We start from the raw sequence: 16,520 nt of genomic DNA, 5'->3' as shown, positions 1-16,520 counted from the left end.
GAGAAGGGGTTGTCGTGGGGACAGCGTGTTCCTGCAGCTAAGCCTTAACCTCTTTGCCTCTCCTCAGAATGCTTCAGACCAGGAAAGGGGAACTTGTCACTTGGGACTTGCAGGGACACTGTTTTGAAAGTAAACTCTCCCAAAGAGCCTCTGCCTGCTTTAGGGAGGAATGTTTGTTTGGGTTCTATGAATCAGAAACCTACTCTACCAATTTCAGGTTAAAAAAGGATGTGTCACAAGGCTATGGAGATGTTTATTTTCTTTTGGTTATTAAAAACATGTTAGGCTGGGTGTGGTGGCTCATGCCTGTAATCCCAGCACTTTGGGAGGTAAAGACAGGAGGATTGCTTAAGCCCAGGAGTTGAAGACTGGCCTGGGCAACATAGTGAAACTGTGTCCCTACAATTTTTTTTTTTATTTTTTAAGACAGTCTCGTTCTGTTGCCCAGGCTGGAGTGCAGTGGCGTGATTTTGGCTCACTGCAACCTCCGCCTCCCGCGTTCAAGCGATTCTCCTGCCTCAGCCTCCCGAGTAGCTGGGATTACAGGCATGTGCCACCACGCCCAGCTAATTTTTGTATTTTTAATAGAGACAGGTTTTCACCATGTTGGTCAGGTTGGTCTTGTACTCCTGACCTCAGGTGATCCACTCACCTCGGCCTCCCAAAGTGCTGGGATTACAGGCATGAGACACCGCACCCGGCCTCTACAAAATTTTTTTTTTTTAATTAGCCAGGTGTGGTGGTTCCTGTAGTTCCAGCTACTTTGAGGGCATAGGTGGGGGGTGCTGAGGTGGGAGGATCCCTTGAGCCCAGGAGGTCGAGCCTACAGTGAGCTGTGTTTGTGCCACTACACTCTAGCCTGGGTGACAGAGCAAGACCCTGTCTCAAAAAAAAAAAAAAAAAAAAAAAGGTAAATCCCAGAAAACCCAATGACACTAATTTAAAGGAAGATTCTTTGGTTCGTGTAATGGAAAGTTCGGGGGTAGTGCTGTGATTTGGATAGGGGGTGTTTGTCTCCACCAAAACTCATGTTGCAATTTGATCTCCACTGTGGCAGTGTTGGGAGGCGGGGCCTAGTGGGAGGTGTTGGGCTATGGAGGTGAATCCCTCATGAATGGCTTGGAAGTGCTACCCTCTCACCAGTGAGTGAGTTCTTGCTGTCACTCTCGTGAGACTGAATTGGTTCTCCATCTAACTCATTGCTGTGAGAGTGGGTTATTATAAAGCTATGATGACCTTCAGGTTTTCCCCTTTTTTGCAGTCTCCCTTCTGTTTTCCCTTTTCCTGCGTGTGGTGATGCAACGTGCAAGCCCTTGCCAGAAGTCAAGGCCATCCCTTTAAATGTCTCAGACTGCAGAGCTATAAAATGAAATAAGTCTCTTTTCTTTATACATTACCCAGTTGCAGGTATTCTTTTATAGCAACACAAAATGGACTAAGACAAGTAGAGTGGGTTTCAGGTGAAGCTTGATCCAGCCACTTAGCTCTATCACTGGGATCCAGAATCCCACAGCACCTGCTCCTCTTTCTATATGGACGTACTCCCCAGAATGACCACCCCACATCCAGGTATCCATCACCTTTTAGCTCAAGTATCTGGACCAACAGGAACATCCTGTGTCTCTTGATTCACGTTTCTGAGGGAGGGAATCCAGTACCCAGGCTCATCCTTTTGGGGCATGTATCTGAACTCATGTTCGTGGCCAGTGAGTGAATGGTCTCTCCGGGGTCCGGTGTCCATAGCTTGTTCAGTCATCAGTGGCCAGACCATGTGGGTCACGTGCCTCCTCCACCTGATTGGAGATAGGGTGTCTGAGAAGGGGTCACAAACAGGTCAGTCACCCCAATACCTTCCCAGAGAAGTCAGGACTCAGCTGGTGATTATCCGAGGACCCCATAACTCCTCCCTGGCCTGGAAACCACCCAAAGAGGCCTATTTTGGTCTTAATTTGTAATTTTGGGAGAATTTTAAGTTTGGTTCTGGTTAGAATTTTTTTTTTTTTTTTTTTTTGAGACGGAGTTTCGCTCTTGTCACCTAGGCTGGAGTGCAATGGTGTGATCTCGGCTCACTGCAACCTCTGCTTCCAGGGTTCAAGTGATTCTTCCGCCTCAGCCTCCCGAGTAGCTGGGATTACAGGTGCCTGCCACCACGCCTGGCTAATTTTTGTATTTTTAGTAGAGATGGGGTTTTGTCATGTTAACCAGTCTGGTCTCAAACTCCTGACCTCAGGTGATCCACCCCCTTCAGCCTCCCAAAGTGCTGGGATTACAGTTGTGAGCCACCGCACCCGGCCCTGGTTAGAATTTTCATGCCTGGATATTTCCTGATGTTTTGTTTCTGGTTCATTCAGGAGGAGAAATTCAGACTTCGGTTCAGGAAATGGTTTTAATCACTGTCCCCAAGAAATCGGCCAACAAGCACATGTGTCCACCATCAGGTGGAAAACCCAGAATCATTTTCAGATGGCTGTTAACCAGCGGCAGGGTGGCTTCTGCAAGCAAATGCTGCATTATTATTTTTTTTCTTTCATACCAGGAAAAGGGTTTTATCTTCAAAACAATGTATCCACGTCACTAATCGGTCTGGAAGAACTTGTTTGGCCAAATTTAGAATCCACAATAAGGTCAGAGAGAATAAATTTAGAACTGAACTCTGAGCTCTCAGGGCCAACAGTTCCGTTTGGCACTGGGTACTTGCTAACTCCATCTGCCACCTAGAGCTTGATTGTATTTCCCCTTTACCTCCCAGGTCCACCAGAATTTGCAGGATAACGTAGCCTTGGAGAGTAAGACCTGGCATCTAAACCTGTCTTCACCATTTATAAGCTATGTGACTCTAGGAACGTGTTTCATCTCTCTGAGCCTTAGTTTCATCATCTTTTAAAGAAGGCTGGAGGGTAATAATAACATCTTATAAAATAACATGTAAAGATTGATTATAATTTTTTTTTTTTGAGACAGAATCTCGCTCTGTTTCCCAGGCTGCAGTGCAGTGGGGCAATTACAGCTCACTGTAACCTTGATCTCTTGAGTCTAATCAATCCTCCCACCTCAGCCTCCTGAGTAGTAGGCATATACCACCACACCTGGCTAATTTTTAAAAAGTTTTATTTTGTAGAGATAGGATCTCACTCTGTTGTCCAGGCTGGTCTCAAACTCCTGGGCTCGAGCGATCCTCCCACCGTGGTCTCCCAAAGTGCTGGGATTACAGGTGTGAGCCACCTCGCTCAGTCCAACCATTCTGATTTCTGTCTCTGAATTTGAGTATTCTAGGAACCTCATATAAAAGGATCATACATCACTTGTCCTTGTGTGATGGGCATATTTTCTTATCATAATGTCTTCATGGTTCATCCATGTTGTCGTATGGGTCAACATTTTCTTCCTTTTTAAGGCTGAATAATATCTCATTGCATATATACACACCACATTTTGTTTATCCATTCATCTGTCAATGGACATTTGGGTCTCTTGCACCTTTTTGCTATGATGAATAATGTGGCTATGAATATAGATGTACAAATATTTGTTAGAGTCCCTGCTTTCGCTTCTTTTGGGTACATACCCAGAAGTTTGATTAAAACATTTTATGGAGGCTGGGTATGGTGTCTCACACCTGTAATCCCAGTACTTTGGGAGGCCGAGGTAGGAGGAGCACTTGAGCCCAGGAGTTTGAGACCAGCCTGGGCAATATACCGAGGCCCTGTTACTACAAAAAAATAAAAATAAAAAAAAATTAGCCAGGCATGGTGGTGCACCTGGAGTCCTAGCTACTTAAGAGAGAGGCTGATGCAGAAAGATCCCTTGAGCCCAGGAGTTCAAGGCTGTAGTGAGGTATGATCGCATCACTGCACTCCAGCCTGGGCAACAGGCAAGACCCTGTCTCTCAAAAAAAAAAAAAAAAAAAAAAGTAAAAGACATTTACCCTATGCTTGGCATGTAGTAAACACTCAACACATTGTAGCCAATAAAACTAGTATTAGAAAAATACTGGGTGAAATTTTTTTAATGCAGATTTAAGAATGAGATGTCATTTTGCCTGTCAAATTAACAACAACTAAAAGGTAATAATCCTCAATGCAGCTGGGATGTGGTAAGATGGGTTCTCTCTCTCTTTCTCTCTTTTTTTTTCTGAGAAGAGTCTCACTCTGTTGCCCAGACTAAAGTGCAGTGGTGTGATCTCAGCTCACTGCAACCTCCACCTCCCAGGTTCAAGCAATTCTCCTGCCTCAGCCTCCCAAGTAGCTGGGATTACAGGCACATGCCACCAGGCCTGGCTAATTTTTGTATCTGTAGTAGAGATGAGGTTTTGCCATGTTGGCCAGGCTGGTCTCGAACTCCTGACCTCAAGTGATCCACCTGCCTAGGTCTCCTAAAGTGCTAGGATTATAGGTGTGAACCACCATGCCCAGCCTCTCTCTTTCTTTGTGTGTGTGGAGAGATGGGGTCTCACTATGTTGCCAAGGCTGGTCTTGAACTCCTGGGCTCAAGTGATCCTCCCACCTTGGCCTCCCAAAGTGTTGGGACTATAGGCATGAGCCACCTCGCTTGGCCACAGGGTTCTCTCATACACATCTGTAGGTAATCTTTCTCGAAAGCAACTTGCAGTGCTAAGTATGGTATATCAAGGCTCTTGGAAGTGATCATACTATTTGACCAACAATTTAACTTCTGAGAATTCATCCTAAAGACAGAGCCTCAAACATAGACCAAGATTTGAGTCTGGAGGTGTTTATCACAGCAATCTTTATAATATTTCGGAAGCAACTTCTATTTCCATCCATAGGAAACGGTTTAAAAACTAATGTAGGGATGGGCCCCCAATGGACTATTTTGCAGTCATTAGAAATGCTTGTGAGTTGGCCGGGCACGGTAGCTCACGCCTGTAATCCCAGCACTTTGGGAGGCCGAGGTGGGCGGATCATGAGGTCAGGAGTTCGAGACCAGCCTGACCAACACGATGAAACCCCGTCTCTACTAAAAGTACAAAAATTAGCCGGGCATGGTGGTGGGTGCCTGTAATCCCAGCTACTCAGGAGGCTGAGGCAGGAGGATCATTTGAGCACAGACAGGAGTTTGAGGCCAGCCTGGGCAACACAGCAAGACTCTGCCTCTAAAATGAGGCAGTGAAACAGGAAACTGTATACGCTATACTGTTTTATGAAAAAGAAGATAAAAAATTGTATATATTTCTCCTATAAAATAGGTACCATTTGCATTTATTGTTGCTGAACCTTCACTAAGCTCTATATATACTTTCTCTTGTTTACTCCTCCCAACAATCAAAGAGGCAGGCACTATTATTACACCATTTGACAGATGAGGAAACAGAGGTTCCAAGTGGTGACATGATTCTCAGGGTTACACAGCCAGCAAGTGGCAGAGCTAGGATTCAAACCCAGGCCCCTCGACTCCAAAGAGTAGAAAAGGAAAGGACAGCCTGGCCAACATGGTGAAACCCCGTCTCTACTAAAAATACAAAAATTAGCCGGGCATGGTGATGCGGGCCTGTAGTCCCAGCTGCTCAGGAGGCTGAGGCAGGAGAATCGCTTGAACCCAGGAGGTGGAGGTTGCAGTGAGCCAAGATCGCATGCTACTGCACTCCAGCCTGGGCAACAGTGAGACTCCGTCTCAAAAAAAAAGAAAAAAAGAAAAAAAAAGGAAACAATTCTGCAGTCAAGCCTAACCTAACCATAGGAGTGATTTTTACTTTCTTCTTCATACTTGTATTTTTTTCCCAAACTGGGAGGAGGTAGAGGGAGCAATTTACTAGATAAAAAGGGAAAGAAACAATTGCTAGTTTCAAGCAGGCATCTTTGAAGATAAAACATGAAGGTCTCGTGCCTCATGCCACGAACTCAGTTCGTGTTCATCTTTTTTCTGGTTAAAGAAGAGCAGAGTGTCCTGGCTGAGTCTTTTGGCTGATTGCTTAATAATGGGAGGGTGTGCTGTGGACACACACACACACACACACACACACACACACACAGCCCACGCTAACCGAGACAGGAGGGAGACAAAACCCAGCAGTAGCCAAAACTCTGCTAGATCGATGCAGACTGTTACAGGCGCAGCTTTCCAAAAAGCAGAGCTCAGTGAAATAAATATTTTTCCTGTGAGAAGAGGCTTAAGTCGGCGATCTTAACAACCCCCCAATTCATTCCAGATTCACTCGGTGCAGCTGTCGTCAGCGCGCCCATCTTGATACACTTAGGATTGCTTGGTAACTGCAGTGAGCCCGTGTGTCTGGCTGCTTTCACCCACTGGGCAGTGTGCCCTGGGGCGCTGGGCAGGGGGACAAGAAGGAGTTTGTCCCTGGGGAACCCTATTCCCACCCCGTCTCAGCTCCCCACAACTTCTGGGGGTTTGTCACTTTGTTTCCCCTTGTAAAACCACTATTTAATCTAAACTGGAGGCCTGAGAACGCAACCTCTTCTTGGCAAAAGGCTCCATTCTCTTAGTCCTGGAGACAATATGCAGGAAGAATGTACAGTCAGGGACTCAGGAAACATACAAATGAAAAGTCTGGGTTACCTCAAAAAGCGGGAGCTTCGCTACCCAGGGAGAAATTCGTTGATGAGTTCATTTACTTGCTCACTCAACAATGGTTGGCCGGGTGCAGTGGCTCACGCCCATAATCCCAGCACTCTGGGGGGCCTAGTTGGGCAAATGGATGGCTTGAGGCCAGGAGTTTGAGACCAGCCATGGCAACATGGTGAAACCCCATCTCTACTAAAAATACAAAAAGTAGCTGGTGTGGTGGTGCGTGCCTGTAGTCCCAGCTACTCGGGGAGTTGAGGTGGGAGAATCACCTGAGTTTGGGAAGTTGAGGCTGCAGTGAGTGGTGATGGCACCACTGTACACCAGCCTAGGCAAAAGATTGAGATGCTGTCTCAAAAAACAAAAAGACAAAAAAACAAAAAAACCCCACCAAACACACACAAAAAGCAATGTTTAATTGAATCACCTCCTAAGTGTAAGATGTGGAACAAAGCTGATATAAGAGAGGACAAAGCCACTGGAGATACAGATTCATTCATTCGTTCATGGATGTTTGCTGAGTGCCTCCTATGTGTTAGGTCCTGTCCTCTTAGTGCTGGGGACTTAGCAGTGAACCACGCAGACAAAAACTCTGCCTCCTGGGAGCTTGCAGTGAGCCGAGATTGCGCCACTGCACTCCAGCCTGGGTGACAGAGCAAGCCTCCATCTCAAAAAAAAAAAAAAAAAAAAAAAAAACTCTGCCTCCTGGGAGAGTCATGAGGTCAGGAGTTCGAGACCAGCCTGGCCAACGGAGTGAAACCCCATCTCTACTAAAAATACAAAAATTAGTTGGGCATGATGGCAGGCACCTGTAGTGCCAACTACTTGGGAGGCTGAGGCAGGAGAATCACTTGAACCCGGGAGGTGGAGGTTGCAGTGAACCGATATTGCGCCACTGTACTCCAGCCTGGGAGACAAGAGAGAAATTTCATCTCAAAAAAAAAGGAAAGAAAAAGAAAAAACCCTGCTTCCTAGTACTTGCCCCCTAGCACTTCTAGTTGGGGTGACAAACACCAGACAAGGACAAGGTAATGTTTGGAATGTCAGATGGTATTAAATGCTAAAGAGAAAAATAAAGCAGGAAGAGGGAATTGGGAGACGGGGTCCCGGTGGTCACACTTACAGATAAGGGGCCAGGAAAGGTCTCATGAGAGGGTATATTGAAGTCACAACCTGCAGGAGATGAGGAGAGCGCATTAAATAACAGTGACCTCTGGATCATGCAAGCCCCTTTTCAATGATCTTTCAGCACTGATTATGCCAGTGAGAAATATCCGAGGCGGATGGATTGTTTGACTCCAGGAGTTTGAGACCAGCCTGGGCAACATGGCAAAACCCTGTCTCTACAAAAAAATTCAAAAAGTAGCCAAGTGGGTGGTGCATGCCTGTAGTCCCACCTACTTGGGAGGCTGAGGTGGGAGAATTGCTCAAACCCGGGAGGCAGAGGTTTCAGTGAGCCAAGATGGCACCACTGCACTCTAGCATGGACAACAGAGGGAGACCCTGTCTCGAAAAAAAAAAAAATTAGCCAAGTGTGGTGGCATACGCCTGTAATCTCAGGAGGCTGAGGCAGGAAAATCGCTTGAACCCAGGAGGCAGAGGTTGCAGTGAGCCAAGATTGTGCCACTGCACTCCAGCCTGGGTAATAGAGGGAGGCTGTCTCAAAAAAAAAAAAAAGTATACAATTTAGTGTTTTTTTCTTTTTTTTGGCATATTCACAAAGCTGTGCAACCATCACCACTATCTAAATCCAGAGCAGTTTTACCCCAGAAAGAAACCCCATACCTATTAGTAATGACTCCCATTCTCCCCTCCCTCAACTTCTGGCAATGACTGATCCACTTTCTGTCTCTCTGGATTTGCCTGCTCTGGACTTGCTTGTCCGTGGAGCCATACCTTCTGTGGCCTGCTGGTTCTGGCTTCTTTCACTTAGCATACCGTTTTCAAGGTTCATCTGTCTCACAGCATGCATCAGGGCTTGGTCCCTTTTATATGGCCCTATAGTGTCCCTTTGTATGGCTGTCCCACATTTTGTTTACCCACTCATCAGCTGATAAATATTTGAGCTGTTTTTACTTCTTGGCTACTATGAGTAATGCTGCTCTGAATGTCTGTGTATGGGTTTTGCGTGGACATATGTTAACATTCCTCTTGGATGTATACTTAGGAGTGGAACTGCTGGGTCGTATTTACATTTAACCATTTGCTTAATTTCATACTTAACCATTTGAGGAACTGCCAAGCTGTTTTCCAAAGCAGCTGCGCCCTCTTACATGTCACCAGTAGCGTACCAGGGTTTCAGTTGCCCCACATCCTCTCCAGCGCTTGCTGTGGTCTGTCTTTTGGATGACGACCGCCCTCGTGTATGTGCAGTGGTATCTCCCCAGGGATTTGAGCTGCATGCTCAGCCGTCAGGACTTCGGTCAAGGCTGTGCTTATGGGTATAGAGAGGGCTTGGTGATTTCTTTTTTCTTTTCTTTTCTTTCTTTCTTTTCTTTTCTTTTCTTTTTTTTTTTTTTTTTTTTTTTGAGACAGAATCTCTCTCTGTCGCCCAGGCTGGAGTGCCGTGTTGCAATCTCGGCTCACTGCAACCTCCACCTCCCAGGCTCAAGCGATTCTATTGTCTCAGCCTCCCAAGTAGCTGGGATTACAGGCGCCCGCCACCACGCCTGGCTAATTTGTGTATTTTCAGTAGAGATGGGGTTTCACCATGTTGGCCAGGCTGGTCTTGAATTCCTGACCTCAAGTGATTCACCTGCCCCAGCCTCCCAAAGTGCTGGGATTATAGGCATGAACCACCATGCCCAGCCTCGGTGATTTCTTGAGTGACAGTCGGTGGGGCCTCAGGGTTTGGAGCCTGGGAGGACTTGGGGGTGGGATAGGCCTGGGGAGAGTACATGCCAGGGACAGAACTGGGAGACTGGACCCACCCTTTTCCTGGGCCCAGGGCCACCTCCTCCCTTACAGGTGTAAGGCCTTGGCCTCAGGCTTCATGTAGATCAAGAGAAAGAGGTTCCACAGCAGAACCCTAAATGCAAATGCTTCCTCAGGGAAGCCAGTGCAAAGGAAGTCTTGAGGAGGGAGCTCCACTCAGGCCTGTGCCAGACTCCGAGGGGGAGTTCAAAGACCTAAGGTCTTGTCTTTGCCCCGCCATGTCCACAATAACATAACACATGTACCATCTACTTTCCCTGAAGTTGTGGTTTTCTGTTCAGGTTCCTGATTCCCTAATTGGCCTGTAGCTCCCAGAGCAGCAGATCTGGGCTCCTCCCCCTCTTCTCTGGTGTGTAGGCAGTGCATTGAAGAACACAGGTGCATTGGTGTTAGTTCTCAGCTCGTTTCTAATGTTTAACATATACAGTGTTTCTTGAGCTATTACTATGTGTCCTTACGATGCATACCCTGCTCTGATGATTTCCATGCATTTTATTTCCACTGCTATTTCACAGATGAGGAAACCGAGGATATAAGAGGTGAGGAAGGGAGTGTGGACAACGTTCCACAGCCAGTGGATGGAATTGCCAAGATTCGAACACCGTTCCATCTGACTCCAGAGCCCTTGTCTCTAACCACCAGACTATAGTGGGAGGGTAGATTGAGTAGGGGCCTTCCATTCTCAGGCTTCCTTGACAGAGTATGTATTGGTTTTCTATTGCTGTGTAACAAATGATCCCAGACCCAGCAGCTTAAAACAATATCCATGTATGAGCTCACAGCTGTGTTGGTCCAGAGTCTGGCATGGCTGAGTTCTCTGCTCATCGCAAGGCTGAAATGCAAGATGTTGGTCCGGCTGAGTTCTTGTCTGGAGGATCTGGGGACAAATCCACTTCCAAGGTCATTCAGTTCCGTGTGGCCATAGGACTGAGGTCCCCATTTCCTTCCTAGCTGTCACTGGGGGGCTGCTTTCAGCTTCTAGAGGCCTCCTGTATTGGCCACCTTCACCTCCAAAGCCTGCAATGGAAAATCTCTCTCACGCTGAATCCCTCTCATACTTTGAATCTCCTTGGCCAGTAAGAGCCAACAGGAGGCTGAGGCAGGAGAACTGCTTGAACCCGGGAGGCAGAGGTTGCAGTGAGCTGAGATCATGCCACTGCACTCCAGTCTAGGTGACAGAGCGAGACTCGGTCTCAAAAAAAAAACAAAAAACAAAAAGCCAGTCCTGTTTGAGGGCTCTCTGATTAGGTCAGGCCCACCCAGGCTAATCTCCCTTTTGTCATATAAGGTAACCATGGCAGTCAGATCATAATATTCACAGGTTCTGCCCACAATCAAAGGGGTGGAACCTGTGAGTATTACGGGTTAGAGAAGTCGAGCGTCTTTGGGATCATCTTAATATTCCACTCACTGAGACTGGGGAAGGTCTTGGGTGCTGATAATAACAATAGCAATAGTGATATTGGTACTTCTTTTCCTTTGCTTAGAACTTTGTGGATTACAGACTGATTATACATCTGTAATCCTGCAGGAGACTGTGATGGACTGAATGTTTGGGTCACTCTAAAATTCATATGTTGAGGTTGGATGTGGTGTCTCACATCTGTAATCCCAACACTTTGGGAGGCCAACGTGGGCAAATCACTTAAGCTCAGGAGTTTGAGACCAATCTGAGCAACACGGTGAAATCTCGTCTCTACTAAAAGTACAAAAAGTTAGCCAGGTGTGGTGGTGCACACCTGTGGTCCCAGCTACTCAGGAGGCTGAGGTGGGAGGATTGTTTGAGCCCGGGAGGTGGAGGTTGCAGTGAGCAGAGATTGCGCCACTGCACTACAGCCTGGCAACACTGTGTGAGATGCCATCTCAAAAAAAAATTCCTATGTTGAACCCAAACCCCCGTGCTGTGATTAGGAGGTGGGGCCTTTGGGAGGTGAATAGATCTCGAGGGTGGAGGCCTGGTGAATGGGATTAATGGGATTAGTGCTCTTATAACTTCCAGAGTGTTCTCTTGCCTCTTCCCTCCACGTGGGGATGAAATGAGAGGACCATAGTCTGCAACCTGGAAGAGGGCCCTCACCAGAACCTTACCATGCAGTCACCCTGATCTCCAACTCCTCGCTTCCAGAACCATGAGAAATAACCCCCAGCCCCACTCCCCGACCCACCAGCTTATGGTTCTCTGTTACACACAGACTGCAGGCTATAAAGTATGTGCCTGTATCCCCATTTCACCCATGAGGGGAGTACAGCTCAGACAGGAGACTGCCTAGTTAGCCCGGCTGGGGCTGGAGCCCAGATCTTTTGACCCCAGGCCAGGGCTTTTGGCGCCCAGATCATCCCCTGCCCCCATTGGAAGCCTCAAACCTCATTACCGTCCTTGGAAGGGGGCAAAGTATCTGCTTCCAGCCAGCCTAGCCCTCAGGGAGCGCTTCCCTGTAAACTCACCCCATTGGGTCATCCAAATGGCTTTTACAGGAATTGCCACTGGGCTGAGCGAACCTCACCTCATTAAGCAGGAAAAGCAATAAAGCCTGAGGGCTGCAGAATCAGAATAGTTCCTGGGCAGGAAGGGCCCAGTCCCTGTGGGTGGGGGTGGGGGACAGGCAGGCTGGGCCAGGCCTGGCTGCATGGCCAAGACCAGGGGTCCATGCTCTCCAGAGGGAAAGTGTCAGGACTGTCACCATTGTCCCACCTCTGAGTGTGCCAGGCATCCTTCCCAGGGGCCTACATCTTTTCTTTTTTTTGAGATGGCTTGCTCTGTAGCCAGGTTGGAGTGCAATGGCATGATCTCAGCCCACTACAAACTCTGCCTCCTGGGTTTGAGCGATTCTCCTGCCTCAGCCTCCCGAGTAGCTGGGATTACAGGTACCCACCACCACCCCTGGCTAATGTTTGTATTTTTAGTAGAGACGGGGTTTCGCCATGTTGGCCAGGCTGGTCTCCAACTCCTAACCTCAGGTGATCTGTCCATCTTGGCCTCCCAAAGTGTTGGGATTACAGGTGTGAGCCATTGTGCCCTGCCTCTAATTCAATACCGTCATATCCTTATAAGAAGAGGAAGAGCTGTGAAGACAGAGACACTGGGAAGCACCATGGGACAACAGAAGCAGAGATTGGCGTCATGCAGCTACAAGACCAGAAATGCCAAGGATTGGTAGCCATCACCAGAAGCTAGGAAGAGGCAAGGAAGGATTCTTTCCTAGATCCTTTAGAGCAAGGGTTCCCAACCCCTGGGCCATGGACTTGTACTTGTCCATGGTCTGTTAGGAACTGGGCCACATAGCAGGAGGTTAGCAGCAGGCAGGTAAGCGAAGCTTCATCTGTATTTAGAACCACTCCCCATTGCTTGTGTTACCTCCTGTCTGATCAGTGGAGGCGTTCAATTCTCACAGGAGCACGAACCCTATTGTGAACTACGCATGCGAGGGATCTCGGCTGCATGCTCCTTATGAGAATCTAATGCCTGATGATCTGTCACTGTCTCCATCACCCCCAGATGGGACCATCTAGTTGCAGGAAAACAAGCTCAGGGCTCCCACTGATTCCACATTATGGAATGTGAGTTGTATAATTATTTCATTATATATTACAATGTAGTAGTAGAAATAAAGTGCACAATGAATGTAATGCACTTGAATCACCCCAAAACCACCCACCCAACCCCCACCCTGGTCAGTGGAAAAATTGTCTTCCACAAAACTTGTCCCTGGTGCCAAAAAGGTTGGGGACCGCTGCTTTAGAGGGAGCATGGCCCTGCCGACACCTTGATTTGGACTTCTAACCTCCAGAACTGCAAGACAATAAGTTTCCCTTGTTTGAAGCCACCCAGTTTGTAGTATTTTTTTTTTTTTTTACAGCAGCCCCAGGAAACCATAGAGTACCCTGGATTTTTTTCTTTCTTTTTTTTAGAGATGGAGTGTTGCTATTGTCACCCAGGCTGGAGTGCAGTGGCATGATCTCAGCTCACTGCAACCTCTGCCTCCCAGGTTCAGGCAATTCTCCTGCCTCAGTCTCCCGAGTAGCTGGGATTACAGGTGCCCACCAACACACCCAGCTAATTTTTATATTTTTAGTAGAGATGGGGTTTCTCCATGTTGGTGAGGCTGGTCTAAAACTCCTGACCTCAGGTGATCCACCCGTCTTGGCCTCCCAAAATGCTAGGATTGTAGGCATGAGCCACCGCGCCTGGCCACTACCCTGGATTTTAACCTTAGCAGCACAAAGTGGTAGGATAAGCTATAAATTATATTTTGTGTTTTCCTTTTAATGAAGAGAAAAAGAGCAAGTCCTCGCAACTGAAAGTAACTGTAAGATAATTTCAGTGGCTTCCAATGTATAGATGAGGAACTGGAGGCTCAAAGAGGATAAGTGACTTGTCCAAGGTCACATAGTGAGAATGAGGTGGCCGGGTGCGGTGGCTCATGCCTGTAATCCCAGCACTTTGGGAGGCCGAGGCGGGTGGATCACGAGGTCAGGAGATCGAGACCATCCTGGCTAACACGGTGAAACCCTGTCTCTACTAAAAATACAAAAAATTAGCCGGGCATGGTAGCGGGCGCCTGTAGTCCCAGCTACTTGGGAGGCTGAGGCAGGAGAATGGCGTGAACCCGGGAGGCGGAGCTTGCAGTGAGCCGAGATTGCGCCACTGCACTCCAGCCTGGGTGACAGAGCAAGACTCCATCTCAAAAAAAAAAAAAAAAAAAAAAGAGAATGAGGCAAAGGCTAGACTTGAACTTCTGTTGACTCCAAGGCCTCTGCTCACCTCTGTGTCAGTCTGTGGGTGTGTATCTCACAGGTTATTGGCATGTCTGCAAAGAGTCCCAAAATCCTGGTCCCCAGACGTCACTTTTCTTTTTTTTCTTTTGAGATGGAGTTTCGCTCTTGTCGCCTAGGCTGGAGTACAGTGATGCGATCCTGGCTCACTACAACCTCCGCCTCCCGGGTTCAAGTGATTCTCCTGCCTCAGCCTCCCAAGTAGCTGGGATTACAGGCGTCCGCCACCACGCCTGGCTAATTTTTGTATTTTTAATAGAGACAGGGTTTTGCCATGTTGGCCAAGCTGGTCTTGAACTCCTGACCTCAAGTGATCCGTCCGCCTCGGCCTCCGAAAGTGCGGATTACAGGTGTGAGCCACCACGCCCGGCCCCCTTTTCTTTTTCACATGAGCTCAAAACTTAGTACTGTCCTTTTTCTTATGGGAACTACCTATGCTAGCCACATTTCCTGTAATATGAGCCCCTATGAAGCAAGCCTTCTTTCCCTGGTGATCTTTATTACAAAATTGGAGATGCATTCCCAACGAAATCATCTCCCAGTAGACCCAAGCAAGAATGTTTGGCAAATAAGAAATTAATTAATAAACAGCTTGTAGTACACAAACTTTAGTGTCTGCCTGGAATATTTTGCAACACTTTTGGAAACTCTAGAATTACAATCCCAGCACAAGCTGTTTATTTCAGGCTGTTAGGCCACATACATATCTCATATGCTTGAGAATCTAGTGACTCCACTCTGAGCATCAGGAATGGAGCCCCTGTTCCTTTTGTGTGGGCATTTATAGTGGCTGGTAGAGCAGGGTTGCAATACCTGGGGAGACCAGGAGGGGGTCTGCTTCCAACAGGAAATGGATTTAAGGCTAAAGGTTCTTGAAATTCAAGGCTTTGGGTTCTAGAAAATAAGTCTGTTCCTTTGGGAGGAAATCCACTTTCCTCATGATGTAGGTTAACCATCTGACTTAAAGTTGCTCAGTCCTGGGCCACGCACAGTGGCTCCCACCTGTAATCCCAGCACTTTGGGAGGCCCAGGAGGGTGAATCGCTTGAGCTCAGGAGTTTGAGACCAGACTGGGCAACATCACAGCAAAACCCTTTCTCTAACCAAAGATACAAAAATTCCCCTGGCATGGTGGTACACACCTATGGTCCCGGCTACTCAGGAGGCTGAGGCAGGAGGATCACTGGAGCCTAGGACATTGAGGTTGCAGTGAGCTGTGACCGCACCACTGCACTCCAGCCTGGGCGACATAGTGAGAACCTGTCTATAAATAAATAAATAAATACATAAATACATGAAGTTGCTCAGTCCTGGGAATGGAACAAAGAAGATGTGAAAAAAAATCTGACTTTTCTGCCTCCCTGCATAGATCCTGCCCCAGGGAGGCGCTTTAGCTGGGGTCAGAGTGCCTGGAACAGTCTCCCTCTCCAATAGGCACCAGGATGAAAAAGAAACTGCATATTTCACTGTCAAAAGAAAAACCAGAACAGCAGGCCGGCTTGATGTGTCTCTTGTAAATTGTTTACCTCTGGAGGACCAGATGGCTCATCTCTTGTTGAACCCTTGACCACTTCCCGTGCTGTTAACAGCCTCCACTAGCAAACAGACCCGGCTCCACCGGCTCACGTGGCTGTGCGGGAGTCCCAAGGCCGGCTGGCCTGTGGGGAGTTGTGGGCATTCCAGAGGGTTGACTCAGCAGTCCTGGGCTCCGGATGCTTGAGGAAATGCAAGACAGGAAGGATCTAGGTTAGGCAAATGGTCAGGTGTGGCAGGGATGGACAGCAGCTGGAGGGAGCGGGGATGGGCTTGAACTGCGCATGCCCACAGGGTTCCCAGTGCCCTTAGGCTATGGCCCTAGCGCCTCACCCTTCTAACGTAGGGTCCTTCTAACGTAGTCCCCATTCACCTCACTCGCTCACCTCTTACCACTCAGATGCCTTTGAATGTCAGCCTCTCCCCCGGCCCCACCTCGCCCTGGCTACGTGTTGGGTGGAGTGGGAGAGGCCGCATCTCCCTGCTGCCTTACAGACCTGGGAGAATCCGCAGACACAGGATGGATTGCGAACAGGCTCTGTCCTATGACATGAGCTGGCTGTGATTTATTTTTGAGGGATAGGAACGGGACACAACGGTGCTCCTGCCTTCCTGGGCAGGGGTAGCGAGCTTTTGGCCGTCCCTGCCTGGGCTCCATCCTTAGACACCACAGAACAAGGCCTCTCTGGAGCTGGCTGCTGGGATTTTTTTGTAAACTACTGTATAATAAGAAATGGGGGC

General features: G+C 48.0%; 1 protein-coding gene and 1 long non-coding RNA gene across 12 annotated transcripts in view; one reads left to right on the top strand and one right to left on the bottom strand.

Moving 5' to 3' along the window:
* The window catches only part of RIPOR3 (RIPOR family member 3), a 105,435-nt gene that overhangs the window by 29,884 nt on the left and 59,031 nt on the right, over nt 1–16,520 (top strand). The gene's annotated exons all lie outside the window — the stretch shown is intronic.
* RIPOR3-AS1 (RIPOR3 antisense RNA 1) lies at nt 1,368–16,188 on the bottom strand. The gene is made up of 3 exons (NR_111906.1): nt 16,166–16,188; nt 15,773–15,961; nt 1,368–1,793 (listed from the first exon to the last, which is right to left on the bottom strand). It is a non-coding gene; the product is annotated as an RIPOR3 antisense RNA 1 (long non-coding RNA).

Source organism: Homo sapiens, chromosome 20, assembly GCF_000001405.40.
Source record: "Homo sapiens chromosome 20, GRCh38.p14 Primary Assembly".
Lineage (NCBI taxonomy): Eukaryota > Metazoa > Chordata > Mammalia > Primates > Hominidae > Homo > Homo sapiens.
The sequence above is the reverse complement of the archived record's forward strand: the minus strand, read 5'-3'. Positions and strand labels throughout refer to the sequence as shown.